Source organism: Homo sapiens, chromosome 3 (assembly GCF_000001405.40).
Source record: "Homo sapiens chromosome 3, GRCh38.p14 Primary Assembly".
Lineage (NCBI taxonomy): Eukaryota > Metazoa > Chordata > Mammalia > Primates > Hominidae > Homo > Homo sapiens.
The window spans coordinates 49,007,365-49,031,251 of NC_000003.12; the positions used below are offsets into that span (position 1 = coordinate 49,007,365).

Genomic DNA, 23,887 nt, shown 5'->3' on the forward strand with positions numbered 1-23,887 from the left:
AGGCTCGTTCTCGCGAGAGTTCAGCTCCCTTCTTAGCCGTGGCTGCCTCAGCACCTCGAGGATCGACATGGACGCTCTCGAGGACTACGTTTGGCCGCGGGCAACCTCGGAGCTTATACTCCTCCCAGTGACGGGTCTGGAGTGCGTGGGGGACCGGCTGTTGGCGGGTGAGGCTTGGCTTGAGGCACGCCTGGTGGAAAGGGGGAAAGAAACAGCGCCTCCCAGGGGCGGTGCCACAGGGACAAAAGGGGTGCCCTGAGGAGAAGGACGGGCAGCAGGTTGAGGCCGATCGGAGGTGGGAAGGGAGCCCCGGAGATGGCGGGGACGAGGGCCAACCTGAAGAGGGCGGGGCCCGAGAGACAAAGCTGATGTGGCCGCCGCGGCGCTTCATAAACTTCAGCCCGCGTGGAAAGGGCGGGTGGAACCGCGGGAGGGTGCAGGGGAACGCGGCCGCGCGGAGGCGGAGGCGGAGGCCCGGGAGCTGAGGGTTGAGGGGGTGTGCTCCCTTCTAGGAGATGGGCGGGGGCTTGGCCTCTCCGAAGGAGACGGGGCCGAGCTGGGGGGGGCGGAGGGAGGAGGAGGAGGAGGAGGCGGAGGCGGCCCCGGCCCCTCAGGGGGTGTGGCCTCTTGGGGAAGGCGGGGCCGGGAGAGGGCAAGGGTGTGGCCTCTCGAGGGCGGGATGAGTCTCTTCCCCCTAAGGTGGGGGTGAAGATCCTCTGAGGAGGGTGGCGTCGCGGAAAACGGCGGATAAGACCTTTCCGAGTAGGGGGCGGTGCCCGGGGAAGCAGGGGCTGAGACCCCCTCCTGAGATGGTTGAGGTCCAGGAAATCAGGTGTGGAGGTCCCTCCAAGGAGAACCGGGTCGCAAAGGACAGGCGAGGCCTGGGACCTGAGGTGTCAGAGTCCAGGCTGGTCTCGAACAGTCATTACATGAAGCCACTAATGACCCATGTTGGTGCTGCTGAGTTGTATAAGGGTCCTGAGGCAGGGCCTTGGCGGTCAGGCCTTGAGTGAGTTGCCACCAGTCCTAAGAGGGTGTGTGTATGGGGTGGGGATGATCCAGTTTTGATCTGGTGTGGGGGTTCTTGGAGCGCGGAGTTCCTACCGCGAGCTAAACTCCTAAGGCTCCTTGAGGGGGAACAACGAAGCAGAAACTCAAAGAACCACAAGAGTGAACTAGGAAAAGGGGTGAGTTCCTGGCAAGAGGGTAAGCATGCCAAAGGCCTTGAGGCTGGAAGAATCTGTCATTTTGGGGGAAGGAGGGAATTCTTGTGAAGTTAGAGCAGGAATGGAGTCTGGGAGGAAAGGAAGCTGGACAAGCGAGCAGAGGCCACATTGTTTCAGGCCTTGATCTGACTTTATCCCTAAGGGCAGTGGGGAGAACCTATTGAAGGGTTTTAAGGTGGGGAATAACTTGGGAAATGCAGTTTAAGAAGCTCTGCAAGTGAATTCACCTACTTCTGTGGCTTCCAAAGTGACTTTTATATAGCTACAATTCTGTGTGTGTGTGTTTTTTGTTTGTTTGTTTGTTTGTTTTTGAGACAGTCTTCCTCTGTCACCCAGGCTGGAGTGCAGTGGCACGGTCTCGGCTCCCTGCAACCTCCGCCTCCCAGGTTCAAGTGATTCTCCTGCCTCAGCCTCCGGAGTAGCTGGGATTACAGGTGCCCACCACCATGCCCAGCTAATTGTTGTATTTTTAGTAGAGATGGGGCCTCACCATGTTGGCCAGGCTGGTCTCAAACTCCTGACCTCAAGTGATTCGCCTGCCTCAGCCCCCCAAATTGCTGGAATTATAGGCATGAGCCACCATACCCGGCCTCTCTAGCCTCTTCCTGAGCTCTTCATTTCCTGTTCCATCCACCATACTCAATGCTCTTGCCCATCTCAGGGCAATCATACATGCTGTTTTCTCCACCAAGAAAGCTGCAAACCCTCCCATTGCTCCCCACCCCCCCCCCCCCGCCCCAACATTTCCCAGTCCCCCTCTTCCGCCTCCTTTCCTCTGGCTAACTGCTGCTTATCCTTGAATCCTAACTCTAAATATTGTGTCCTCAAGTTGGCCTCCCCTTACACTCACCCAGTCTTGTTAGATTAGACCAGGGTTTTCTCAATCTTGCCTCGATTGACCTTTTAGACCAGATAATTCTTTGTTGGAATGCTGTTTGTGCATTGTAGGATGTTTAGCATCATCCCTGGCCTTACTTGCCAGTAGCACAACCCCTGGAGACAGCCGTACGTGTCTCCAGCTATTGCTAGATGTCTCCTGTGGGGAAAGTTGCCCCCTGTGGAGAACCACTGGATTAGACTTTCTCATTTTACATCTTTTATTTTCTTTTTGCATTGTCAAAATCCTTCTCATTTTATTTTACTTTTTTTTTTTTTGAGACAGAGTCTTGCTCTATTGCTCAGGGTGGAGTGCAGTGGTGCAATCTCAGGTCACTGCAACTTCCACCTCTTGGGCTCAAGAGATCCTCTCACCTCAGCCTCCCAAGTAGCTGGGACTACAGGCATGCGCCATTATGCCCAGCTCATTTGTATAATTTTTTTAGAGGTGGAGTTTTGCCCTGTTGCCCAGGCTGGTCTCAAACTCCTGGGCTTAAGCGAGCCTCCTGCCTTCCAAAGTGCTGGGATTATCGGTGTGAGCCACTGTGCCAGGCCCCATCTCTATTTTTTTTTTAATTAAAAAAAAAAAGTGAGGTGAGGAGGAGGCTCTGAGTTTGAGAAATTTGTGGTTGAAGTGAACATCAAGCGTGACTGATGAGGCTGGGCGCGGTGGCTCACGCCTGTATTCCCAGCACTTTGGGAGGCCGAGGTGGGCGGATCATGAGGTCAGGAGATCGAGACCATCCTGGCTAACACAGTGAAACCCCGTCTCTACTAAAAATACAAAAAATTAGCCGGGCATGGTGGCGGATGCCTGTAGTCCCAGCTACTTGGGAGGCTGAGGCAGGAGGATGGCGTAAACCTGGGAGGCAGAGCTTGTAGTGAGCCAAGATCGCGCCACAGCACTCCAGCTTGGGCGGCAGAGTGAGACTTTGTCTCAAAAAAAAAAAAGAGTGACTGATGAGGGGGCCGGGCACAATGGCTCACGCCTGTAATCCCGGCACTTTGGGAGGCCAAGGTGGGTGGATCACCGCAGGTCAGGAGTTCGAGACCAGCGTGGCCAACATGGTGAAACCCTGTCTCTACTAAAAATATAAAAACTGGTCGGGCTTGGTGGCTCACGCCTATAATCCCAGCACTTTGGGAGGCTGAGGCGGGCAGATCACGAGGTCAGGAGATCGAGATCATCCTGGCTAACACGGTGAAACCCTGTCTCTATTAAAAATACAAAAAATTAGCCGGGCATGGGGGCAGGCCCCTGTAGTCCCAGCTACTCGGGAGGCTGAGGCAGGAGAATGGCCTGAACCCGGGAGGTGGAACTTGCAGTGAGCTGAGATCGTGCCACTGCACTCCAGCCTGGGCTACAGAGCAAGACTCCGTCTCAAAAAAAAAAAAAAAAAACTAGCCAGGTGTGGTGGTGGGCGCCTGTAATTCCAGCTACTTGGGAGGCTGAGGCAGGAGAGTTGCTTGAACCCAGGAGATGGAGGTTGCAGTGAGCTGCACGGTGCCACTGCACTCCAGCCTCAGCGACAGAATGAGACTCTGTCTCAAAAAAAAAAAGAATGACTGATGAGGGAAGCACAAAGTCAGCACTGAAAGTCCAGCTGAAGCTGAGACCAAGGATTTTCTTTTTTCTTTTTTTTTTTTTGAGTCTTTCGCCCAGGCTGGAGTGAAGTGGTATGATCTTGGCTCACTGCAACCTCCACCCGCTGGGTTCAAGCGATTCTCCTGCCTCAGCCTCCTGAGTAGCTGGGATTACAGGCACGTGCCACCACACCTGGCTAATTTTTTAGTAGAGATGGGGTTTTCACCTTGTTGGCCAGGCTAGTCCTGAACCCCTGACCTCAGGTGATTCATCCGCCTGGGCTTCCCAAAGTGCTAGGATTACAGGCGTGAGCCACCGTGCCTGGCCGAGACCAAGGATTTTCTTTTTTTTTTTTTTCTTTTGAGACAGAGTCTGGCTTTGGCTTTCCAAAGTGCCCAGATTACAGGCGTGAGCCACCGCACCCGGCCGAGACCAAGGATTTTCTAAGATTCAAGCTGCAGGATTGTGTGTCCTGATGCATTCATAGGCTACATGCCGAGAAGTTTCCCTGATCCCCATCTCTTCCCTGTGGGTCATCAGAGTTAGGTACCTAGCTCTGACATGGCTCTTTGCCTCTATCTAGGTGAGGGTCCCGATGTCCTGGTGTACAGCTTGGACTTTGGTGGGCATCTGCGGATGATAAAGCGAGTGCAGAACCTGCTTGGCCACTATCTTATCCATGGCTTCCGGGTACGGCCAGAGCCTAATGGAGACCTTGACTTGGAGGCCATGGTGGCTGTGTTTGGAAGCAAGGGACTCCGAGTTGTGAAAATTAGCTGGGGACAGGGCCACTTCTGGGAGCTTTGGCGCTCTGGCCTGTGGAACATGTCTGACTGGATTTGGGATGCACGCTGGCTTGAGGGAAATATAGCCTTGGCCCTGGGCCACAACTCAGTGGTGCTATATGACCCTGTAGTAGGGTGCATCCTGCAAGAGGTGCCCTGCACAGACAGGTGCACCCTCTCTTCAGCCTGCCTGATTGGAGACGCCTGGAAGGAGCTGACCATAGTGGCAGGTGCTGTTTCCAACCAGCTCTTGGTCTGGTACCCAGCAACTGCCTTAGCAGACAACAAACCTGTAGCACCTGACCGACGAATCAGTGGGCATGTGGGCATCATCTTCAGCATGTCATACCTGGAAAGCAAGGGATTGCTGGCTACAGCTTCAGAAGACCGAAGCGTTCGTATCTGGAAGGTGGGCGACCTGCGAGTGCCTGGGGGTCGGGTGCAGAATATTGGGCACTGCTTTGGGCACAGCGCCCGTGTGTGGCAGGTCAAGCTTCTAGAGAATTACCTTATCAGTGCAGGAGAGGATTGTGTCTGCTTGGTGTGGAGCCATGAAGGTGAGATCCTCCAGGCCTTTCGGGGACACCAGGGACGTGGGATCCGGGCCATAGCTGCCCATGAGAGGCAGGCCTGGGTGATCACTGGGGGTGATGACTCAGGCATTCGGCTGTGGCACTTGGTAGGGCGTGGGTACCGGGGATTGGGGGTCTCGGCTCTCTGCTTCAAGTCCCGTAGTAGGCCAGGTACACTCAAGGCTGTGACTCTGGCTGGCTCTTGGCGACTGCTGGCAGTGACTGATACAGGGGCCCTGTATCTCTATGACGTCGAGGTCAAGTGCTGGGAGCAGCTGCTAGAGGATAAACATTTCCAGTCCTACTGCCTGCTGGAGGCAGCTCCTGGTCCCGAGGGCTTCGGATTGTGTGCTATGGCCAATGGGGAAGGTCGTGTCAAGGTTGTCCCCATCAACACTCCAACTGCTGCTGTGGACCAGACCCTGTTTCCTGGGAAGGTGCACAGCTTGAGCTGGGCCCTGCGTGGTTATGAGGAGCTCCTGTTGCTGGCATCGGGCCCTGGCGGGGTAGTAGCTTGCCTAGAGATCTCAGCCGCACCCTCTGGCAAGGCCATCTTTGTCAAGGAACGTTGTCGGTACCTGCTGCCCCCAAGCAAGCAGAGATGGCACACATGCAGTGCCTTCCTACCCCCAGGTGACTTCCTGGTGTGTGGTGACCGCCGGGGCTCTGTGCTGCTATTCCCCTCCAGACCAGGTCTGCTCAAGGACCCTGGGGTGGGAGGCAAGGCTCGGGCTGGTGCTGGGGCACCTGTAGTGGGTAGTGGTAGTAGTGGGGGTGGGAATGCTTTCACTGGGTTGGGCCCAGTGTCTACCCTGCCCTCTCTGCACGGGAAGCAGGGTGTGACCTCAGTCACATGCCATGGTGGCTATGTGTATACCACAGGGCGTGATGGAGCCTACTACCAGCTGTTTGTACGAGACGGCCAGCTCCAGCCAGTCCTAAGGCAGAAGTCCTGTCGAGGCATGAACTGGCTAGCTGGGCTCCGTATAGTGCCCGATGGGAGCATGGTTATCCTGGGTTTCCATGCCAATGAGTTTGTGGTGTGGAACCCTCGGTCACACGAGAAGCTGCACATCGTCAACTGTGGTGGAGGGCACCGTTCGTGGGCATTCTCTGATACTGAGGCGGCCATGGCCTTTGCTTACCTCAAGGATGGGGATGTCATGCTGTACAGGGCTCTGGGTGGCTGCACCCGGCCACACGTGATTCTCCGGGAGGGTCTGCATGGCCGTGAGATCACTTGTGTAAAGCGTGTGGGCACCATTACCCTGGGGCCTGAATATGGAGTGCCCAGCTTCATGCAGCCTGATGACCTGGAGCCTGGCAGTGAGGGGCCCGACTTGACTGACATTGTGATCACATGTAGTGAGGACACTACTGTCTGTGTCCTAGCACTCCCTACAACCACAGGCTCAGCCCACGCACTCACAGCTGTTTGTAACCATATCTCCTCGGTACGTGCTGTGGCTGTGTGGGGCATTGGCACCCCAGGTGGCCCTCAGGATCCTCAGCCAGGCCTGACTGCCCATGTGGTGTCTGCGGGGGGGCGGGCTGAGATGCACTGCTTCAGCATCATGGTTACTCCGGACCCCAGCACCCCAAGCCGCCTCGCCTGCCATGTCATGCACCTTTCGTCCCACCGGCTAGATGAGTATTGGGACCGGCAACGCAATCGGCATCGGATGGTTAAGGTAGACCCAGAGACCAGGTAATATATGCTCCTGGGCAGGGTGTGGTATGGGTCATGCAGATGCTCCCAGGCTTGCAGGCTCCACCTGACAGCTGCATGTTGTCTCTGCAGGTACATGTCCCTTGCTGTGTGTGAACTTGACCAGCCCGGCCTTGGCCCCCTTGTGGCTGCAGCCTGTAGTGATGGGGCCGTAAGGTGAGAGCATAGGGCCCAGTGGGACAGGAGACAAAGGAAGTAAGGTTGTCTAGGATGCGTTCTGAGCTGGGCCACCCCCCGCCCCCCAGGCTCTTTCTTTTGCAGGATTCTGGGCGGATTCTGCAGCTCCTTGCTGAAACCTTCCACCATAAGCGATGTGTCCTCAAGGTCCACTCCTTTACACACGAGGCACCCAACCAGAGGCGGTGAGAGGGGCTGGATGATGGTCCTGCATGGGCTGGGTTGGGGGGTTCCTGTTGAGCTTCATCTCTGTTATTGACCAGGCTGTCTTTTCCTGGCTCTCAGGAGGCTCCTCCTGTGCAGCGCAGCTACTGATGGCAGCCTGGCTTTCTGGGATCTCACCACCATGCTAGACCATGACTCCACTGTCCTGGAGCCTCCAGTGGATCCTGGGCTTCCCTACCGTGAGTAGCTAATGTGCAACCATGGCTACCCCTCCTCACCTGTCACATAGCCCTCACACATGTGGCAGGCGGGGCCCTGACAACTACCCTCTTCCTCTTCCTTCAGGGCTTGGCACCCCCTCCCTGACTCTCCAGGCCCACAGCTGTGGTATCAACAGCCTGCACACCTTGCCCACCCGTGAGGGCCACCATCTCGTGGCCAGTGGCAGTGAAGATGGATCCCTCCATGTCTTCGTGCTTGCTGTGGAGATGCTACAGCTAGAAGAGGCTGTGGGAGAGGCTGGGCTGGTACCCCAGCTGCGTGTGCTAGAGGAATACTCTGTCCCCTGTGCACATGCTGCCCATGTGACAGGCCTCAAGATCCTAAGCCCAAGCATCATGGTCTCAGCCTCCATTGATCAACGGCTGACCTTCTGGCGTCTGGGGCATGGTGAACCCACCTTCATGAATAGCACTGTGTTCCATGTGCCTGATGTGGCTGACATGGACTGCTGGCCTGTGAGCCCTGAGTTTGGCCACCGTTGTGCCCTTGGGGGTCAGGGGCTTGAGGTTTACAACTGGTATGACTGAGGTATCCTGCGGTGGCTGGCGTGCTGGGCATGGGGCCTGCTCACAGACAGCATGGAGCAGGGATGGGCTGTCTGTGCCCATGCTCAGCATGCCTTGAGGGGAGGAGGTGGTGGCCGTGGGTTCCTGATGTCGGTGCAGGAGCTGAAGGTGAGTGGAGTGCTGCCAAGAATATGCCCGACTCCCCATGACAAGACAGAACTTTGTAACAAACAGTACCAATTTATTTTGGCCGTGGGTTTTTGCTTTTTTTCCAGTTGATGACTTTGTGAACATTCCCAGGTATTGGAGCCTCTGTGGCCTTAAATGTGGCTCAGTGGAGGGAGACCCAGCATAGCCAGGCCAGTATGGAGCACCTCACGCACAGCTCTCAGAAGCTGCAGGCGGACGAACATCTGACCAAAGAGGTGTGGTCGAGGCTCCTGAAAGAGAAAGGGCCTGCTGGTCTCATCCTCTGCTTCCTTTGCCTTTACCCTATACCTCTCTGCACGTCCCACCCCATTTTGCTGTGTGCTCACCCCCAGGATGTGTACCCGGTTGTAGTAGGAGCTGAAATCCATGCTGAGCTGTACCAGGAACTTGCATATCTAGAGACAGAGACTGAGTCACTGGCCCATCTCTTTGCTCTTGTGCCCCAGGCCAGAATAAAGAATAGAGTGTAGAGTGTCCTGGTTGTCTATGCCTCACCATCTCTGTGCGTACAGCAATGTGGAGCCCCGGGGCTGTGCAGTCCAGCACTGCTGTCCGGCTCAGCAGATCCGGAAAGGGGAGGATACTGTTGAAGAGCAACAACCACTCACCCTGTTGGGGAGAAAGGTGCTGGGAGGGGAAGTCCAGGCCTCCTTGTGCCAGCTACCAGGAGGGACACTCACCTCATCATGTAGCAGTGAGAAGTCCAGACTGCTCACAGGAGGAAAAGTGGGGTACAGACCTTGTTCCATACTACACTTGTAACTCTCAAAGAGTGTGGCAAGACGGGCACAATTATACATGACAAAGGTGCCACTCTTTGTGCCCTTCGTGGAGATACTGCTGTCAGCCAGAGCCAGGAAGAGCTGGGGAATAGAAGCACAGCTGCAGAGAGAGAAGGCAGCCACCACACCCTGTGCCCCAACACTGGCCCTGTCAGGCTCCCAGGCTCACCTGACTCTGTGGGGCTGTGCTCAGCATCTCAAACTTGATGGTGGCCACAGAGAGAACACCAAAGATCTCTGTCCAGGCTGGGTCTGAGGGAGTATAGGGTTGGTCAGTCAGTCTGCAGGCAAGGGCAGGGATGCAAAAAACCTGCCCCTAACCCAGAACATAGCCAGGGTTTCCCAGGCACACCTTGTGCCAGATCCCCACCATGCTTCAGTGCTGAGGCCTTGCACACCTGGGTATGCCGGAACCTGTGTTTGGAAGAGAGGAAGGCCAGTGGGCAGGGTCCTGGGTAAAGAGTCCCCCCTCATTACCCTGGCTTAGGTTGGTGTTCCTCCCAGCCTCACTCACTCGTAGTACTCAGGGGCAGTCATCAGAGTGCCAGGTGCACCAGCTACTTTCACAGGGCCACAGATGAGGTGCTTCTGTCAGAAAGATGTCAGGGGCTCAGCCTAGTTGGCGCTACTCTCCAGGAAGTCCCTTGAGGAGCCCAAATCTGGTGCCTCTACTCAGCCCAGACTCCCTCAAATTGGAACTGCCAGGTTGAGTGCCTCCGTCTACCCAGCCACTCAGGCTACGCATGGTTCATCCTTCTCAACCTGGTCTTCAGTGTTCTTGGGATGTGTCTACAGACCCCCCTTCCCCAGAGCCTCTGCACCTGCTGTACATGCCCTCTCAAGTCCAGCAACTCCCCCAAGGTCAAGTGTTGGTTTCTGTCAGCTAACAAGCCCCTCGGTGGGTTTTCAAGGGCCCTCTGAGGTTGGGGGTTAGGTGGTGGGGAGCTCCACCATCATTATTAACCTACCTGTCTGAGTGGAGCCTTGTCAACCAACTTCTGCCAAAGCAGGTCCAACTTCTGTTGCTGGAACTCCTCCTCACAGCTAACAACATGTACAACCAGGCAGCCGCCTGTACCAGTATCTGAGGCCCCAGCCTAAGGGAGGACAATCATAACTGTGGAAGTACAGTATACTTGGTTTGGGAGAACCTACAGGGCTGGGAGTCACTAACCAGGCCTGGGTGGCTGTCCTCGGGCCAATGCCATAGAGCCTCTTGCAGCTCAGCCAGCACAGAGAGGAGATCCTCAGTCACTGAAAAGAGAACAGACAGGTGCTGAGACTGACAAGAAGCAGAGATGTGCCCCTAACCCCCTCCTGCCTTTTCTGGCCCTGCTAGGCTTCAGGTCCTACCCAGACAGTTGTCCAGGTTGGGGTCATAGCCAGCTGTGCGGCCCTGTTCTTCCACCAGCTCCTTCAGACACAGTCTGCCTAGGATGCCAGGGGACAGTGTCCTCCCGTCATTAGCAGAGGTAAGTTCTTCAAGGGCGTGGCTCCTCAGGGTGTGGGAGGAAGCTCTCTCCGAGGCAGCGGGCCAGTCCACCCGCAGTTGCTGCAGGAAGGTCAGCATGTGCGGATCCCGCACAGCTGGCACTAGGCGCACGCACACCCTGCGAAGGGAGGGCGGCCGCCTCAGTCTGAGCACCTGGTCCAGCTCGCCACGACTTCCCACCTCCAGCCGCAGTCCCCACGGGCGGCGCCGCTCGCTTTCTAGGTACCCGGCAGTCCCACTTTCTCCATTCCGGCCCCGCGGCCCCGCTCACCCGTGAGCGCGCAGGGCTCGCGCCAGGTGATCGGCCACGAGCACCGTACGCAGCTGGCTCAAGCGGAGTGCGCAGGGGGAGCTGCGCAGTGCTGGGCAGTGTAGTAAGACGCGCTGGCCCAGCGAGGCAGGCGAGGCGGGCGTGGCATAGGCGGCCACGGCGCTGAGGACGCGCTCGAAGACGGCGGACCGCTGCAGTTGGAGAGACAGACCCGCGGGGGTCGGCGCGCAGCGCAGCACCGGGGCCACACCGGGGCCCTGCAGGCAGGCGAGGGCATGGAGCAAATGCTCCGGAACCTGCGGGAGAACGGGCGTGTAAAAGAGCCACGGCACGGGGCCCATCTCCCGGCCGCACGGCCCCGCCCGGCTCACGCCCACCTGGCCGTCATCGAAGCGCGCCTGCAGCGCGCGGTGCGGTGCCAGAAAGTCTCGGGAACGCAGGTGGCGGGTGCGCGTCTCCTTGATCCACACCGGACCGCCTGGCCCCAGGGCCGCGTTGAGGGCCCCCAGCGTCTCCCCGACCCCAAGGCGCCTGGTCGCCATGGTGACCGGAAGGAGTAAGCGGAACCGGAAAAAAATTTAGGGAGGTGGAACTTCCGGAAAGGACCGACTAGCTGGGGCGGGGATGCGGCGGTGGTCCCCGTAAGTGGACAGGTGCGCCAGTGGTAGCCCTGTCGGCTGCTTTCGACCTACCGCCCCCAGCGCCCCTTCCGCGTGGTCCACCTGCACAGCCGGGCCCCGGATCTGAAATCTCGGGGCCCTCCCTGGGCCTAGGGTTCTTTCGCTGTGACCCAGGCCTTAACCAGGAAAAGGATCCTCGCGACCCGGTGGGCGCTTAGACCGGGTACCGTCTCTTCTCATCGAAGTCTCACATGTTTGTTTTAATAACATTTCATTTCTCCCATTTTACACATGATGAATATTCGTCACTGGAATAAGGCAGTATAACATTAAGGCCACTTTCACGACCTACTTAAAATATCTCGTTTTAAAAAGAATAGTGTTCCGCGGTTTCAGGTTATTTGCAAGCATTTTCTCGTTTGAGATATGGGTGTTTTTTTGTTTGTTTGAGACGGAGTCTTGCTCTTGTCTCCCAGGCTGGAGTGCAGTGGCACGATCTCGGCTCACTGCAGCCTCCACCTCCCGGATTCACAGGATTCTCCTCCTCAGCCTCCCGAGTAGCTGGGATTACGGGCGCCCGCCACCACGCCCGGCTAATTTTTGTATTTTTAGTAGAGACGGGGTTTCGCCATGTTGGCCAGGCTGGTCTCGAACTCCTGACCTCGTGACCTGCCCGCCTCGGCCTCCGAAAGTGCTGGGATTACAGGCATCAGCCACTGCACCCAGCCCGGGTGGTCTTTATGCCCAATAAATAAGCACTCTGATACAGTTGGCGGTTTTCTTCTCTTGATACCTGAGAAATCACAACCATCATGATGGCTTCCAGAATTACCAGACTTTTTTTTTTTTTTTTTGAGACGGAGTTTCGCTCCTGTTGCCCAGGCTGGAGTACAGTGGTGTGATCTTGGCTCACCGCAACCTCCCCCTCCCGGGTTCAAGTGATTATCCTGCCTCAGTCTCCCAAGTAGCTGGGATTACAGGCACGCGCCACCACGCCCGGCTACTTTTGTATTTTTAATAGAGACGGGGTTTCTCCATGTTTGTCAAGCCTCGAACTCCCGACCTCAGGTGATCCGCCTGCCTCGGCCTCCCAAAGTGCTGGGATTACAGGCGTGAGCCACCGCGCCCGGCTCAGAATGACCAGCTTTTAATGTGACTCCTTTAACCTGGTGTGCTTTAACAACGATCCTTAAAGCTTCCTGTTTTAGGCAACAGCCATTTACGGGCCAACCAAATAATGCGACCATAATAGAAAATAGGCCTCAGTTGGAGTATCTTGCTCCTCTACCAATAGGAAAGGTCTTTTTCTTTCTCCCACAAAGGTTCCCAAATGTCTTCATTTCACTGTAACTTACTCACCCCCCACCCCACCCCCATTCCTTTTAATAGAGAAGCTAACTCAGTAGAGAGAGTTGGGAAATCCGGAGAGCAGGGAAACCCAGGGGCAGGAAAAGCTTGGCAAGGCCCCTTTCTGGGCCAGGGCTGAGGCCCTGCTGGGAGGCGCCGAAAGAGCACTGGGCGGACACGACATTCCCGATGGCTTCTCGGGTGCCCACTCAACGGGAGTGATCGTGTCATTCCAAAGCGCTTTCCATTCTGAAGGTGCATGACCTGGAGACAACTGCTTAGCAGGGTTGGGAACCCTCAGTCAAACTGAGGACTTCAGATACTCTCATCCACGAAGACGGTTGGGGTGGTTTTTCCCCAGGAAGTAAGAGGGCTATCTTTAGCGAGATGCGGGCTGAGGCAGCCCTGGGGGAGTCACTACCATTGCAGCCCTACCCAGAGGTCCTGGGTCCACCCTCCCTCGCCAATCCTCCCCAGGGTTCCAGAGATGGCCACCAGCCTCGGCTCTCCCACGTCTACACCCATCACCTCCAGCCTGAGGGCGCAACTGAGAGGAACTGAGACCCAAGCAGCTCAGTAAAGTATGTCTGGGGGTCAGGGGCACCCCATCTGGGCCAGGGCGCTGCTCAGGCAGGAGAGCAGGGGACGAAATCCAAGCGCAGCTGGAATGCTCTGGAGACAACAGCTGCTTTTGGGATTCCGTTGCCCGCTGTCCAGCCGTTGGCGGGGGGCGGGGGAGCTCCTGCCCCCAGGTCACTCGCCCTGGGGCCACATCAGAACCCGCCCATCCCCAGTCCCAGGAGGAAGACCCGGGAGTAGGTTGTGAAACGGAGTCTAGAGGGAACAAGACGCTCACCTGGGCCACAGAACAATAGAAGGGGAGGTGGGGGCCTCCCCTGGGACCGGGTCCCGATCCGGATTAGATCCGTGGGGCAGGATTAGCCCTGTTGGTCCCACGAAGCCTGGGCCACTGGTGCGGTGACGGTGGTGGGGCGGGCTTCGGAATCCGTCAGGAGGGAAGCGCGCCCGTGGGGCCGGAGAGGAAGTAAACCCGCGCGTCCACCTCGGGGACACCCCCGCGCTCGGTGGCCTTTGTCCGGTGACGCTGCCAGCGCCCGGAGCACCAGGGGCCGAAGGGGTCCACAGAGCAGCCGCGGGACCCCCGGAAACCCATTGCGACCGGCCCCAGGAGACCCACCACCAGGCTCCCACTGTGCCGAGCTTCCCGCTCGCCCGGCCCCGCGGGTAGCGAAAGCGACAATGTTCCCCTGAGGCCACGACAGAGCCGGCGTGCCGAGATGCCCAAACCCCGCGCGGGGGCCAGCGACTCTCGCGCCAGTAGGCCCTTGACTTGGATCAAGACGGGGGACGGGGGACTCCCAGGACGCGAGCAGAGTGAACGAGGACAAGGTGATGCTCCACGCGCTTCTACTTCAAGTCTGGTCCGGTTCGGCCTGGTCTGGGCCAGCCGAACAGCCACCCAAACACTATCACAGCTTGCCCTTCCGCTTGCTCTGGCTGCCTGCAGACTTGGAGCCATTTTAAGGAGAAACCACCTGGCCACGCCCCCTAGAGAACCCGAGAAGCCAATCCACGCTCGGCCACGCCCCTCTCCGCGCGCTGCGGAGAGGCCAACGGTCGCGCGGGTGACGGTTAGGGCGGGGCGTGCTTCCGCGTCTAGCCGGAGAAACTTGAGCCGGCTGCCCCGCCCACGGTGCCCGAAGCCCCAAAGGCTGGAATTAGGGGCTAGAAGTCTGGCACCCACCGCCTGGCCAGGTGTTCGGGACGCGACCAGGTGGGCGGTCGCCCCGCCCCGGGAGCGCGGCTTAATAGCTGAGAGCCCGGGGGCCAGGCCGCGGCTGCGGCCCAGGCAACGCCCTGAGGGTGGCCACGCTGCCAGGTGTTCCACTCCCCCGGGACTATGGGCAAGGGCCCGGGGCGGGGAGGGCGGCAGGTGCTGACACTGGAGCTGCGCCGGAGGTCGGGGAACTCGGCCTCCTAAGACTGAGGACACTCGCCTGCTGGGCCGGTCGAGCTGTGCGGTGCCCTCCGGGACGCAGGGGGCGCTGCAGCCACGCTGGGTCAGGCTCCGCAGGGCCCTCCCAACCCGGGGACTAACGGCGCCGGTGACGACTTCGCCGCGCGTTGGTCAGCCATGGCCACCGCTCTCGCGCTACGTAGCTTGTACCGAGCGCGACCCTCGCTGCGCTGTCCGCCCGTTGAGCTTCCCTGGTGAGCTTGGACCCCGCGCCCTCGACCATCCAGCCCCCTAGGGCCGGCGACTGCCAGCCCAGCACCTTCCGGCCTCTCGGGCTGCCCGGCCCGGCCCCGCGCCCCTGACCCTTTCCCTCCGCAGGGCCCCGCGGCGAGGGCATCGGCTCTCGCCGGCGGATGACGAGCTGTATCAGCGGACGCGCATCTCTCTGCTGCAACGCGAGGCCGCTCAGGCAATGTACATCGACAGCTACAACAGCCGCGGCTTCATGATAAACGGAAACCGCGTGCTCGGCCCCTGCGCTCTGCTCCCGCACTCGGTGGTGCAGTGGAACGTGAGTCCTGGCCCGCAGTGTGGAAACTGAGGCCCAGAGTCACAGGCCCTCACCCTGCTTGGTCCCTGCAAACTTGGCTTTCCTCTGTCTCCTCCTGCAGTGGATGGAGATGGGGAGAGGCTGCGTGGATTTGTCGTATTAAATGTGCCTCCTCCCTGCACAGGTGGGATCCCACCAGGACATCACCGAAGACAGCTTTTCCCTCTTCTGGTTGCTGGAGCCCCGGATAGGTACTGGGGAAGGGGAGGGAGAACAGAGGTGTTCTGGGCCCCAGAAGGCGACCCCCACTGCAGCCTCTCAACAGAACTGTAGACTAGCCACACCCACCCTTCCCTAGAGATCGTGGTGGTGGGGACTGGAGACCGGACCGAGAGGCTGCAGTCCCAGGTGCTTCAAGCCATGAGGCAGCGGGGCATTGCTGTGGAAGTGCAGGACACGGTGAGTCCCGGGACTGGGGCATGCTGCGGGGAGCACAGGCCTGGCGCTAGACAGGCTGATGCTGGCCTTTTCTTTGCAGCCCAATGCCTGTGCCACCTTCAACTTCCTGTGTCATGAAGGCCGAGTAACTGGAGCTGCTCTCATCCCTCCACCAGGAGGGACTTCACTTACATCTTTGGGCCAAGCTGCTCAATGAACCGCCAGGAACTGACCTGCTGACTGCACTCTGCCAGGCTTCCCAATGCTTTCACTCTTATCTACCCTTTGGCACTTATCTTGCTTATCAACATAATAATTTATACACTTCTCCCATTTTGTATCAGGTGTGTTGCTGGCCAGGAGCTGATGGCTCACTGGGCTCTTGGAGGGGAATGTGAAGAAACCAAGGAGTCACTTTTTCATCTAGATTACTTAGGATTCCTTGACTTTTCAGAAGTCGGGAAGCAGTATGTTTGCCTGTTGTAGACCTACTTGCTCACATGCAGATTTGAGAGGACCTCAACGGCTTTTCTCACAAAATCGCTGATTGTTTTTCTTTTTTTGAGATGGAGTCTCGCTGTCGCCCGGGCTGCAGTGCAGTGGCGTGATCTTGGCCCACTACAACCTCCACCTCCTGGATTCAAGCGATTCTCGTGCCTCAGCCTCCTGAGTAGCTGGAATTAGAGGCCCCTACCACTACACTGGGCTTTTTTTTTTTTTTTTTTTTCTGGAGATGAGTCTTGCTCTTTCGCCAGGGTGGAGTGCAGTGGCGCAGTCTCAGCTCACTGCAACCTCCGCCTCCTGGGTTTCAGTGATTCTCCTGCCTCAGCCTCCTGAGTAGCTGGGACTAGAGGTATGCATCACCACGCCCAGCTAATTTTTGTATTTTTAGTAGAGAAAGGGTTCACCATGTTGGCCAGGATGGTCTCGAACTCCTGATCTCAAGTGATCCACCTGCCTCCCAAAGTGCTGGGATTACAGACGTGAGCCAATGTGCCTGGCCGAGAGAGATTCAAGTTAGGGAATATATATGTGTGTTGACCTGGTCCTATATGGCCAAGCTATGGGCTAGCAGGATGCCCTGTGTATGCCAGTCCCAGGGCTTGTTCTTTGACCCCTTGGGAGCCAGAGTCAGATGCTCAGTGTGAGACTGAAACCCCAAGAGCCATAGCTATAGCTATAGTCAGCTGTTTTGTGAGCAGCCTCAGGAGGAACTTTTTGGACCTGGAACTACCCGCTTCCAGGTCCATGGAGCACATTTATCTCGGGGCCTGAGGCTCCCCCTGGAAATGAGGGTGCTGTTTTTGTGTGCATCTGTGGTAGTGGCAGCTACAGAGCCCCACCTGTCTGTTGAAAGATCAGGCATCACTTTTTTCTTTCTAAACTTTTATTGAAAAAAAAACCGAGGAGGTGTGCTGGATCCCTTTTCAGAAAAGCCGCTTCTCATACCTGCAGGCAGAAGGACCACCTGTGAGGTGAGGGCAGGAGAAAGGAGGCATGAGGTATGGCAGAGGCCCCACCAAGGACAGGGTGACTTACGAATGGAGGCTATGGACGCCACCTTCCACCTGGGCTGAGGACGTTCTCTTCTCAAACTTAAGCTCCCCAGAGTACATCATGGCTCTGAAGAAGGGCAGAGGTCAAATGTGGGTAGCTGGCCCTGGACCAGCCCCTCTACCCATGTCCCAGCTCCCCAAGCTCACCGGACTTGGGTCAAGCTCTTGGCACCAATGTCCTGGCATGAGTGTTGGATGCCAGCAATCAGGTAAGGGACAAATTTGTGGATTGACCCTTTGTCCTGCACAGCACCAGACACTCCCTGGGCCACTTTGATTTTGTCAGCTTCACTGCAGGGAGAGGCAGAGACACGGGCAAGGTCACAGCAGAGATGAGACTGTCAGTGCAGGATTAGGGTGGGGTAACTGGCTTGCCTGTCCCACCTGAAATATCTGTTCTGGCTGCTGAGGTGCTTGTCCATGGCATCGAGAGAACCCATACCGCGATATTTCTTTAGCCGGATCCCATCGGAAAAGAAGTATTCACCAGGGGCCTCAGTGGTGGCAGCCAGGAGAGAGCCCATCATGACTGCGGACAGATGGAGTGCTTGGGTTAGAGCCTAAGCAGCACTAGGGAGGGGGTCCCACTGGCCTTCACGGGTACTGGGCCTCACCTGTGGAGGCCCCAAGGGCCAAGGCTTTCGCAATATGACCCACATTTTGGATTCCTCCATCAGCAATGACCGGAACACCAAAGCGCCGTGCATACTCTGACACCTTGTACACTGCTGTTGCTTGGGGCCGCCCACAGGCCAGCACTGTTGAGATGGAGGAACACATGGGTGGATAGGGTTAATGGGGACGGGCAGTGGACCCTGTGGCCATATTTAGGACCCAGGAGCTTTTGGCTACATCTGCATCAGGACTGCAGCTTGGCTGAGGAACAGACGTGTCTGGGATGGCTGCTGCCACATCTGCCTTAAATAGTACAAACAGCTGTGCTGACCTCTACTCACCCCCACATGTGCACGTGCATGTGTGCAGTGCCCAGGGCAGCCTCAGGCACATGCAGTCTTAGCAGCCGGGAAAGCCCCCGTCCAGCTGGTATCAGATGGGGCAGGAGTCACCGTGCAGTTAGTCCCCAGAGGCACTGAGGTCAGGCCCAGCCCTTCCTCCCTGAATGGTGGGCAGCTCAGGCAAGATAAGGGCAGTGGTTGTGTAGGAGAGCAGGCTGTGGTTGTGTGGAGCAGGCAGTGGTTGTGTGGGAGAGCAAGGACCACACAAAGGAGTTGGTCCCTGAACTATGCCTACTGCAGAAGATGTGGGCAGAAAAGGTCCTGCCTAGGGAAGAAGGTCCTGCCCTATCAGCACCCCAGAAGGAAGAGGGAGCTATGTTCTTGAGCACCACCCCCAAACCATGGTCTGTGTATCAGTTGGCCTTGCCCACCCATCAGCACCACAAACCCCGGGAGCTACAGCTACGTCAACCAAGCAGCCGGGCAGTGGGCAGCTGGGCCGGGCCAGTGGGCCGGGCTGGACTTACTATAGCAACCCGTGACAGTAGAAGGGCATTTGGGGCTGTGGGACTTTATGTCTGGAGGGATCTTGGGAGCCACTAAATAAAACAAACAGACCAGAGTTTAGAGAAGGTGCAGAGCAGGAGCAAGAAGGCCAGGCTAGGCAAGGGAGTGGCAGGTGATGGATGACAAGACCTTGTCTTGCTTCCAGCCATGTCACCCATCCAAGAGGCCAATTTGGCCCCAGGGTTGCCCCTATTGGAGGGCTCTATTGTCCCCATAAGAGTGCTTGGTTCCAAGGTATGTGGGGCCTGAAACTGGGGTCTCTGTGGGCCCTATCAAAGTATATTCTTACCTTCCTGCGTAATGCAGATGGAGCCACTTCCCATGCCCACCCGCAGGGCATCCACACCTGCATCAATGAGGTTCTTGGCCTGGGCAGCAGTGACCACTATGGTGAAGGAAAGGAAAATGCTCATGTGAAGGTTAAGGTGGGAGCCCAGCTTACCCACTCCCACCACACATCCTTCAGGGCACAATCTTGCCTTACCATTGCCTCCAATGACTTGGAGATTAGGGTATTTGTCTTTGATGTACTTGATCATATTGATCTGGAAGATGGAATTTCCCTGGGAAGAGTCCTAGGACAAGAAGTAAGTCTCAGACTGTGATGTGGCAGCTGCCCCTATTGCCCCAACCCACCTGTGTAGCAGCTCACCAAAACCACTACATCCACACCAGCCTGGGCGAGCAAGTCCAGCCTATACTTGTCATCCTCATGAGTGCCAATGGCTGCCCCACACAGCAGCTGTTTCTTGGCATCTTTGGAGGCTAGTGGGTAGTCCCGATTCTTCTTCAGGTCTGTCCGGGCAATGATGGCCACAAGCTCATCATCTTCATTTACAATGGGCAACTTTCCTGTGGTCAGGGCAGGACATGAATCAGGACCCTAGGCATTAGTTCCAGGCCCTTTCCCAGCTCTAGGACTTACCCTTCTTGCTGCGCTGCAGAATTTCATTTGCCTCCTTCAGTGTGATGCCTGCAGGGGCTACCACCAAGTCTTCCCTCTTTGTCATTATCTACGTGGGAGGTGAGATGTGAAGAAGGGCCAGTCATCGACTATGACCAGTTAACTCTTTTCTTTCCTTCCCAAGTAGCTGAGCTCAGAGGCACGCGCCACCACACCCAACTAATTTTTTGTATTTTTAGTAGAGACGGGGTTTCACCATGTTGGCCAGGCTGGTCTCAAACTCCTAACCTCATGATTTGCCTGCCTCAGTCTCCCAAAGTACTGAGATTACAGGGGTGAAGTTCTATGGACCACCACGTTCATACATTCACACCCAAAACACCCTTCCTCAAGGGATCCCAATAATTCTTAGCAGTATGGTATTGAGTGAGGGATGAGTAGAAAGGACAACATGGCACAGGGAGCACCCTCTTACACTATGGAATAAGGAGGACAACACAGGAACAATGGCAAGAAAATCAGGGCAGACCTCAAGCACTGCCCCTACCTTAGGGGTTTAAAAGAACAAAGCATGAATACTAGCAAGCATTTGGGCAGTTTGAAAGCCTCTGGTGGGGAAAGGATGCAGGAACCCAATAAAGGAGTCAGAAACTTGGTTTGACACTCCTTTCCCAGAGAGAAGAGGCTATCAGAGATGTCTTAGACAACAGAAGCCCCTTGTCTTCAACCTGGGCTGCTAGAGCTTGGATCTACTCTGCCAGTGGCACCCACCTCTTCCAAGAAACAGTCATGTTCCTCCTCTTTGAGAAAATCAATGTCCCTGGAGGAGATGATGCCCACCAAGCGGCTCCCCATCCGGCCTGTGTCTGTGATTGGGATACCGCAGAAACCATGCCGGGCCTTGGCCTCAAAAACATCCCGCACGCGATCCTTGGGGCTGAGGACCACAGGGTCTGTGATGAATCCCTGTTCATATTTCTGGAAAGGGATGGTGAGAAAGGGCATCGCATCTTTGAACTACTTTCATCAGGCTCTTGATCTGAAGCATGGGGTCTCTGCTTATCGATCCCTTTGGCAGTGCCACAAGACCAAATCACACCAACACATCTTAGAGACATGGGTAGGCTGGAGGCACTGTACACCTGGTCTATTGCTGCTGCTTTAAGAAACAGAATCTCAGGGTCTTCTCAGTAACTGAACCCCATGGTGGGAAGAAAGAATACTAAATTAGAATAAACCCCTACTCCCACCCCACCCCACCTCAGTGCAATTCCCAGGAGCGCTTGCTAATGATCGTTGCCCTTCTGACCTTCACTTTCCGAACTTCATTGGCCTGGAATTCAGGTGTACAGTTGTGGTGGATGAAGCCAATACCGCCTGTAAGCTACAGGATAAAAAGAGACTACTACTAAGTGACAAGAAGCAGGACTGAATGCCTTTGGGGAAAGGCGATGGAGTCCTTGCTCCTTCCCCCACACCCCATGGGGCTCACCGCCATTGCTATGGCCATCCCAGCCTCTGTGACTGTGTCCATGGGAGAGGAAACCAGTGGGGTCTTAAGAGTGATTTTCTTGGTCAGAGCAGAAGTCAGGTCCTGAGGAGACAAACGTCAACCAGTGTGGGAAAGCATCCCTTACACCTCAAGGTGTTACTGAGTCCCCCACAAAAAGGCACTTTTGTATGACCTGCATGCTAACAAGCAACATGATCCTATAAAATCCACCCCCAAGCCCAATCTGGTGAGTTAGCCCAGAGACCAGGTGATAGTAGCACCTTAGCTCACCTTGATGTTCAGGACCCAATTCCTGATCATACTCACCACCTGGTCTGCAGTGAAGTCGATGTACCCAGGGAGAATGAGAAAGTCACTGCGAGGGAAGGGAGTGAATTGGGAGTAAAGCTCTCAGCTTAGGGCAGCATGAGACTCCATCCCCATGTACCAATCAACCCGTAACGCATGTGAGCAGAGAGTGGCACTGACAGAGTCTGTGTGTCACAGGCACAGCACAAGGTGGAAATGGGTACAGGGGACCTTTTCTGCCACCGAGCTGTCATCAGTGCTCCTGGCACCCTGACAATTCCATGTGTCTGGAGCATGGAATCTCCGGCCTGAGATTCCAAGCACTACTGAGATGCTTCTCCGTACCCCAAGCACCGCTCCAGATGTCTCAAAGTGAGCCCCGGAGGTGGGTGGCCAATTCCCGAAACCTGTCCCCCACGCCCACGCCCAAGGCGGCTCTCGGAAGCCCCCATCTGGCCTTTTCCCCAGGGTGCCGCCCCTCTCTTCGCCCAGGTGAGCCCCATAGGCCCGCACTTGTAGGTGAGGCCGTCTCCGCAGTTGAAGAGCTGCTGTGCTGTGAGTCCGTCGTCTGGCACGTAGGACGTGCCCCCACTAATCAGGTAGTCGGCCATGGCCAACACAGGACACCGCCGCGTGTCTCCGAGGACCGCGCCGCAGAGACCTCTGCCGTCTGGGCCGCGCCAATATAAACCAGCCGATTTCGTCACTGCGCTGCGCGCGACGCTGACGTCAGGGCGTAGTGCGCGCGGGCGGAACCTACCCGCCTCGCTGCGGCGGGGGCGGAGCTGGCGCTGAAGAAACAGCGCATGCGTATAGCACATAGTGGCCTTGTCACTGAGGAGCTGCCACTTCACGTCCCACCCCACACTCCCCGCAGGACCTCGGCCAGTTCAATTAACAGGCAAGGGTTTACTTCTACTGTCCCGCCGGGCTCCTCCCCAAAATAAAGAGACGTTGTTCACTAACATGTTGAAAAGACGTGCTTGTCATTCTTAATAAACAACTAGAGTAAGAATACATAAGAGAAACAGAGTGGTATCTTTATATGATACACAAGTGTATGTTACAAGAATTCCATCAGGCACAGGAGCCTCAGGTTTTAAGGCCTCAATGTTAGGCCAACAAAAAAAAAAAAGGCATGGTAAAGTTTTTACTTTTACATCTAAAATGTCACTTGTCATAAAGGAGGGTGTAATAGAAATTGTCTTTAATAAATCATAATTGAAGTTCCCCTCATTTTTCTTCCATTAAGATGCTAAGTTTATGTCTGATCATGAAGAAAGAAAAGAACATCGTTCCCCTGTGGTCAGCAAAGTCTGTCAGCCCAGTGGAAGTCGGCTGGGGAGATTCCCTCCAGGGTCCATCCATCATTAATTCCATCTCTCTTGAAGATGGAAAGGGGCCACATTTCTTTTCACAGTCCAAGCCCTTTCCCCAGGCCCCAGACAAAAAAGAGTCAGCCAGCAACTTTCTAGGACATATGACACTCAAGGAAACCCAGAGCCACCATCGGCTGAGGAGTCTGCCGCAGCAGGTTTATGAAGATGCAAAGGGGGCAAAGTTTTCTTTTATATTTTAAACAGAAGCAGCCTGAAAGGCTTCGTAACTACACCAATAAAAAAAAGAAAAAAAAAAATGGAGGCCTCTTCTTTAGTGTGAAAGTCTGTCTGGTTTTTCCTGGCTGGTTTCTCTTGTGCCATGGCCAAGGCATCTCAGTGCATAGTGCTTGCATTGGCCACTGCGATGGCCTCCTGAATTTCTCTTATCACCAGGATCCGCGTCAGCATTTGTCCCATCTGCTCTCTGCTGATAGGCTGGACTGAGTACCAGATTGGGCTGTTGGGGGCCACCACTGGCTCAGGTGTCAGGTAAAAGGTGTCATTCCGGCCTTTCACACTCTGGGGGCTGAAGAATATGCGGATAAAAGTTGGGTACCACCAATATAACTTCAACCCTCCCACCCTGAACTTCCCAGACAGATGCTGTCTGCAAACAGTAAGGCCCCAAGTTATTGTGGCACAGCTACTGAATTCCATGCAGCCACCACACACTACATCCTGGTCCTCCTTTGGGACTACTGCAAATCCCCCAAATGTTGGGTTACTTCCCCTCTGCCCCTCCTTCCCACAAACCAGCTGTGATCCATCACTGACTGCACCAGCCTAGGGCTCTCATGGACTCATGTGAGTCTATCCTTATCCTACTTGAAGCCAGCTTCACTGCTCAAAGCGTCTATCTCCAAGTCTTTGCGCTTTTTTTTTTTTTTTTTTTGAGATGGCGTCTTGTCTCCAGGCTGGAGTGCAGTGAGGTGATCTCAGCTCACTGCAACCTCCGCCCCCTTGGTTGAAGCGATTCTCCTGCCTCAGCCTCTGGAGTAGCTGGAACCATAGGCACGAGCCACCAAGCCCAGCTAATTTTTGTATTTTTTAGTAGAGATGGGGTTTTTCCATGTTGGCCAGGCTGGTCTCGAACTCCTGACCTCAGGTGATCCACCCACCTTGGCCTCCCAAAG

At 56.1% G+C, this 23,887-nt stretch overlaps 5 protein-coding genes and 2 non-coding genes across 34 annotated transcripts in view, besides 16 other annotated features; 2 read left to right on the plus strand and 5 right to left on the minus strand.

The window, feature by feature from the left end:
• On the plus strand, positions 27-8,587 carry WDR6 (WD repeat domain 6). 4 transcript variants are annotated; one of them, NM_001320546.3, is made up of 6 exons: positions 27-167; positions 4,057-6,752; positions 6,846-6,929; positions 7,019-7,135; positions 7,236-7,354; positions 7,461-8,587. In NM_001320546.3, the coding sequence occupies exons 2-6, from the start codon at positions 4,249-4,251 to the stop codon at positions 7,922-7,924; spliced, it is 3,288 nt and encodes a 1,095-aa protein (NP_001307475.1). In that variant the 5' UTR covers positions 27-167; positions 4,057-4,248; the 3' UTR covers positions 7,925-8,587. The 4 variants fall into 4 exon arrangements, with proteins under 4 accessions (NP_001307475.1, NP_060501.4, XP_047303327.1 ...); NM_018031.6 differs by having other exon boundaries at positions 4,271-6,752; NM_001320547.2 differs by lacking the exon at positions 27-167 and adding an exon at positions 241-295 and having other exon boundaries at positions 4,271-6,752.
• Positions 522-701: a silencer, noted in NCBI's record as "silent region_14346". NCBI's record gives its function as "represses an Ori minimal core promoter by ATAC-STARR-seq in GM12878 lymphoblastoid cells {active_cell/tissue: GM12878}" and the evidence as "EXISTENCE:reporter gene assay evidence [ECO:0000049][PMID:35858748]".
• Positions 6,229-7,066: an enhancer, noted in NCBI's record as "H3K4me1 hESC enhancer chr3:49051026-49051863 (GRCh37/hg19 assembly coordinates)". NCBI's record gives its function as "activates a minimal SCP1, AML or CMV promoter by ChIP-STARR-seq in naive H9 embryonic stem cells {active_cell/tissue: H9 hESC(naive)}" and the evidence as "EXISTENCE:reporter gene assay evidence [ECO:0000049][PMID:30033119]".
• Positions 6,861-6,990: a silencer, noted in NCBI's record as "silent region_14347". NCBI's record gives its function as "represses an Ori minimal core promoter by ATAC-STARR-seq in GM12878 lymphoblastoid cells {active_cell/tissue: GM12878}" and the evidence as "EXISTENCE:reporter gene assay evidence [ECO:0000049][PMID:35858748]".
• DALRD3 (DALR anticodon binding domain containing 3) lies at positions 8,124-14,141 on the minus strand. Of its 10 annotated transcripts, none has more exons than XM_017006723.2 (13): positions 13,482-14,141; positions 11,036-11,189; positions 10,659-10,954; positions 10,249-10,505; positions 10,070-10,149; positions 9,864-9,992; positions 9,410-9,483; positions 9,248-9,309; positions 9,065-9,147; positions 8,794-8,976; positions 8,609-8,696; positions 8,440-8,508; positions 8,124-8,343 (listed from the first exon to the last, which is right to left on the minus strand). In XM_017006723.2, the coding sequence occupies exons 4-13, from the start codon at positions 10,463-10,465 to the stop codon at positions 8,279-8,281; spliced, it is 1,050 nt and encodes a 349-aa protein (XP_016862212.1). In that variant the 5' UTR covers positions 10,466-10,505; positions 10,659-10,954; positions 11,036-11,189; positions 13,482-14,141; the 3' UTR covers positions 8,124-8,278. The 10 variants fall into 10 exon arrangements, with proteins under 10 accessions (XP_016862212.1, XP_047304394.1, XP_047304393.1 ...); XM_047448438.1 differs by having other exon boundaries at positions 8,609-8,722; XM_047448437.1 differs by having other exon boundaries at positions 8,609-8,722; positions 11,036-12,071.
• Positions 9,637-9,706: an enhancer, noted in NCBI's record as "active region_19849". NCBI's record gives its function as "activates an Ori minimal core promoter by ATAC-STARR-seq in GM12878 lymphoblastoid cells {active_cell/tissue: GM12878}" and the evidence as "EXISTENCE:reporter gene assay evidence [ECO:0000049][PMID:35858748]".
• Positions 9,992-10,763: an enhancer, noted in NCBI's record as "H3K27ac-H3K4me1 hESC enhancer chr3:49054789-49055560 (GRCh37/hg19 assembly coordinates)". NCBI's record gives its function as "activates a minimal SCP1, AML or CMV promoter by ChIP-STARR-seq in primed H9 embryonic stem cells {active_cell/tissue: H9 hESC(primed)}" and the evidence as "EXISTENCE:reporter gene assay evidence [ECO:0000049][PMID:30033119]".
• Positions 10,212-10,446: a silencer, noted in NCBI's record as "fragment chr3:49055009-49055243 (GRCh37/hg19 assembly coordinates)". NCBI's record gives its function as "represses an EF-1alpha promoter that drives an FKBP-Casp9 reporter gene in an ReSE screen in K562 erythroleukemia cells {active_cell/tissue: K562}" and the evidence as "EXISTENCE:reporter gene assay evidence [ECO:0000049][PMID:32094911]".
• On the minus strand, positions 12,784-12,870 carry MIR425 (microRNA 425). The gene has a single exon (NR_029948.1). It is a non-coding gene; the product is annotated as a microRNA 425 (primary transcript).
• Positions 13,088-16,131, plus strand: NDUFAF3 (NADH:ubiquinone oxidoreductase complex assembly factor 3). Of its 4 annotated transcripts, none has more exons than NM_199074.2 (5): positions 13,088-13,206; positions 14,982-15,174; positions 15,338-15,404; positions 15,512-15,612; positions 15,692-16,131. In NM_199074.2, exons 2-5 carry the CDS (start codon positions 15,076-15,078, stop codon positions 15,806-15,808), a joined length of 384 nt encoding a protein of 127 aa, NP_951056.1. In that variant the 5' UTR covers positions 13,088-13,206; positions 14,982-15,075; the 3' UTR covers positions 15,809-16,131. The 4 variants fall into 4 exon arrangements, with proteins under 4 accessions (NP_951056.1, NP_951047.1, NP_951033.1 ...); NM_199073.2 differs by lacking the exon at positions 13,088-13,206 and adding an exon at positions 13,720-14,035; NM_199070.2 differs by lacking the exon at positions 13,088-13,206 and adding an exon at positions 14,286-14,420.
• MIR191 (microRNA 191) lies at positions 13,254-13,345 on the minus strand. Its single transcript, NR_029690.1, has one exon. It is a non-coding gene; the product is annotated as a microRNA 191 (primary transcript).
• Positions 13,844-14,613: an enhancer, noted in NCBI's record as "NANOG-H3K27ac-H3K4me1 hESC enhancer chr3:49058641-49059410 (GRCh37/hg19 assembly coordinates)". NCBI's record gives its function as "activates a minimal SCP1, AML or CMV promoter by ChIP-STARR-seq in naive H9 embryonic stem cells {active_cell/tissue: H9 hESC(naive)}" and the evidence as "EXISTENCE:reporter gene assay evidence [ECO:0000049][PMID:30033119]".
• Positions 14,129-14,331: a silencer, noted in NCBI's record as "fragment chr3:49058926-49059128 (GRCh37/hg19 assembly coordinates)". NCBI's record gives its function as "represses an EF-1alpha promoter that drives an FKBP-Casp9 reporter gene in an ReSE screen in K562 erythroleukemia cells {active_cell/tissue: K562}" and the evidence as "EXISTENCE:reporter gene assay evidence [ECO:0000049][PMID:32094911]".
• Positions 14,368-14,557: a silencer, noted in NCBI's record as "silent region_14348". NCBI's record gives its function as "represses an Ori minimal core promoter by ATAC-STARR-seq in GM12878 lymphoblastoid cells {active_cell/tissue: GM12878}" and the evidence as "EXISTENCE:reporter gene assay evidence [ECO:0000049][PMID:35858748]".
• Positions 14,778-14,877: a silencer, noted in NCBI's record as "silent region_14349". NCBI's record gives its function as "represses an Ori minimal core promoter by ATAC-STARR-seq in GM12878 lymphoblastoid cells {active_cell/tissue: GM12878}" and the evidence as "EXISTENCE:reporter gene assay evidence [ECO:0000049][PMID:35858748]".
• Positions 14,918-15,037: a silencer, noted in NCBI's record as "silent region_14350". NCBI's record gives its function as "represses an Ori minimal core promoter by ATAC-STARR-seq in GM12878 lymphoblastoid cells {active_cell/tissue: GM12878}" and the evidence as "EXISTENCE:reporter gene assay evidence [ECO:0000049][PMID:35858748]".
• Positions 15,098-15,147: a silencer, noted in NCBI's record as "silent region_14351". NCBI's record gives its function as "represses an Ori minimal core promoter by ATAC-STARR-seq in GM12878 lymphoblastoid cells {active_cell/tissue: GM12878}" and the evidence as "EXISTENCE:reporter gene assay evidence [ECO:0000049][PMID:35858748]".
• On the minus strand, positions 16,961-22,034 carry IMPDH2 (inosine monophosphate dehydrogenase 2). 4 transcript variants are annotated; one of them, NM_001410759.1, is made up of 15 exons: positions 21,889-22,034; positions 21,394-21,442; positions 21,067-21,168; positions 20,884-20,958; positions 20,346-20,552; positions 19,596-19,683; positions 19,323-19,522; positions 19,155-19,245; positions 18,960-19,055; positions 18,631-18,702; positions 17,762-17,905; positions 17,532-17,676; positions 17,295-17,438; positions 17,131-17,214; positions 16,961-17,040 (listed from the first exon to the last, which is right to left on the minus strand). In NM_001410759.1, exons 1-15 carry the CDS (start codon positions 21,984-21,986, stop codon positions 17,019-17,021), a joined length of 1,617 nt encoding a protein of 538 aa, NP_001397688.1. In that variant the 5' UTR covers positions 21,987-22,034; the 3' UTR covers positions 16,961-17,018. The 4 variants fall into 4 exon arrangements, with proteins under 4 accessions (NP_001397688.1, NP_001397689.1, NP_000875.2 ...); NM_001410760.1 differs by lacking the exon at positions 20,884-20,958; NM_000884.3 differs by lacking the exon at positions 18,631-18,702.
• Positions 17,904-18,043: a silencer, noted in NCBI's record as "silent region_14352". NCBI's record gives its function as "represses an Ori minimal core promoter by ATAC-STARR-seq in GM12878 lymphoblastoid cells {active_cell/tissue: GM12878}" and the evidence as "EXISTENCE:reporter gene assay evidence [ECO:0000049][PMID:35858748]".
• Positions 21,167-21,769: an enhancer, noted in NCBI's record as "H3K27ac-H3K4me1 hESC enhancer chr3:49065964-49066566 (GRCh37/hg19 assembly coordinates)". NCBI's record gives its function as "activates a minimal SCP1, AML or CMV promoter by ChIP-STARR-seq in naive and primed H9 embryonic stem cells {active_cell/tissue: H9 hESC(naive and primed)}" and the evidence as "EXISTENCE:reporter gene assay evidence [ECO:0000049][PMID:30033119]".
• Positions 21,770-22,371: an enhancer, noted in NCBI's record as "H3K27ac-H3K4me1 hESC enhancer chr3:49066567-49067168 (GRCh37/hg19 assembly coordinates)". NCBI's record gives its function as "activates a minimal SCP1, AML or CMV promoter by ChIP-STARR-seq in primed H9 embryonic stem cells {active_cell/tissue: H9 hESC(primed)}" and the evidence as "EXISTENCE:reporter gene assay evidence [ECO:0000049][PMID:30033119]".
• Positions 21,825-22,034: an enhancer, noted in NCBI's record as "active region_19850". NCBI's record gives its function as "activates an Ori minimal core promoter by ATAC-STARR-seq in GM12878 lymphoblastoid cells {active_cell/tissue: GM12878}" and the evidence as "EXISTENCE:reporter gene assay evidence [ECO:0000049][PMID:35858748]".
• The window catches only part of QRICH1 (glutamine rich 1), a 64,667-nt gene continuing 63,122 nt past the window's right edge, over positions 22,343-23,887 (minus strand). For all 10 annotated transcript variants that reach the window (NM_001320584.1, NM_001320585.1, NM_198880.3 and 7 more), the window contains one exon: positions 22,343-23,280. In NM_001320584.1, the coding sequence (NP_001307513.1) occupies positions 23,088-23,280 (193 nt within the window). In that variant the 3' untranslated portion in view covers positions 22,343-23,087. The remainder of the gene's footprint in view (positions 23,281-23,887) is intronic.

Excerpts from the sequence above, each read along its gene's own strand:
- WDR6 (NM_018031.6), top strand. The coding sequence starts at position 68 with ATGGACGCTCTCGAGGACTACGTTTGGCCGCGGGCAACCTCGGAGCTT. Across the intron at positions 168-4,270 it reads GGGGGACCGGCTGTTGGCGG|GTGAGGGTCCCGATGTCCTG; the intron begins GTGAGGCTTGGC and ends GCCTCTATCTAG. Across the intron at positions 6,753-6,845 it reads AAGGTAGACCCAGAGACCAG|GTACATGTCCCTTGCTGTGT; the intron begins GTAATATATGCT and ends TTGTCTCTGCAG.
- DALRD3 (XM_047448436.1), bottom strand. The coding sequence starts at position 11,200 with ATGGCGACCAGGCGCCTTGGGGTCGGGGAGACGCTGGGGGCCCTCAAC. Across the intron at positions 10,150-10,248 it reads CAACCTGGACAACTGTCTGG|TGACTGAGGATCTCCTCTCT; the intron begins GTAGGACCTGAA and ends TTCTCTTTTCAG. Across the intron at positions 9,148-9,247 it reads TGGTGGGGATCTGGCACAAG|ACCCAGCCTGGACAGAGATC; the intron begins GTGTGCCTGGGA and ends ATACTCCCTCAG.
- NDUFAF3 (NM_199069.2), top strand. The coding sequence starts at position 14,781 with ATGGCCACCGCTCTCGCGCTACGTAGCTTGTACCGAGCGCGACCCTCG. Across the intron at positions 15,405-15,511 it reads GTTGCTGGAGCCCCGGATAG|AGATCGTGGTGGTGGGGACT; the intron begins GTACTGGGGAAG and ends ACCCTTCCCTAG. Across the intron at positions 15,613-15,691 it reads CTGTGGAAGTGCAGGACACG|CCCAATGCCTGTGCCACCTT; the intron begins GTGAGTCCCGGG and ends TTTTCTTTGCAG.
- IMPDH2 (NM_001410759.1), bottom strand. The coding sequence starts at position 21,986 with ATGGCCGACTACCTGATTAGTGGGGGCACGTCCTACGTGCCAGACGAC. Across the intron at positions 20,553-20,883 it reads ATGAAGTTCGGAAAGTGAAG|AAATATGAACAGGGATTCAT; the intron begins GTCAGAAGGGCA and ends ATCCCTTTCCAG. Across the intron at positions 19,523-19,595 it reads TCTGCAGCGCAGCAAGAAGG|GAAAGTTGCCCATTGTAAAT; the intron begins GTAAGTCCTAGA and ends CCCTGACCACAG.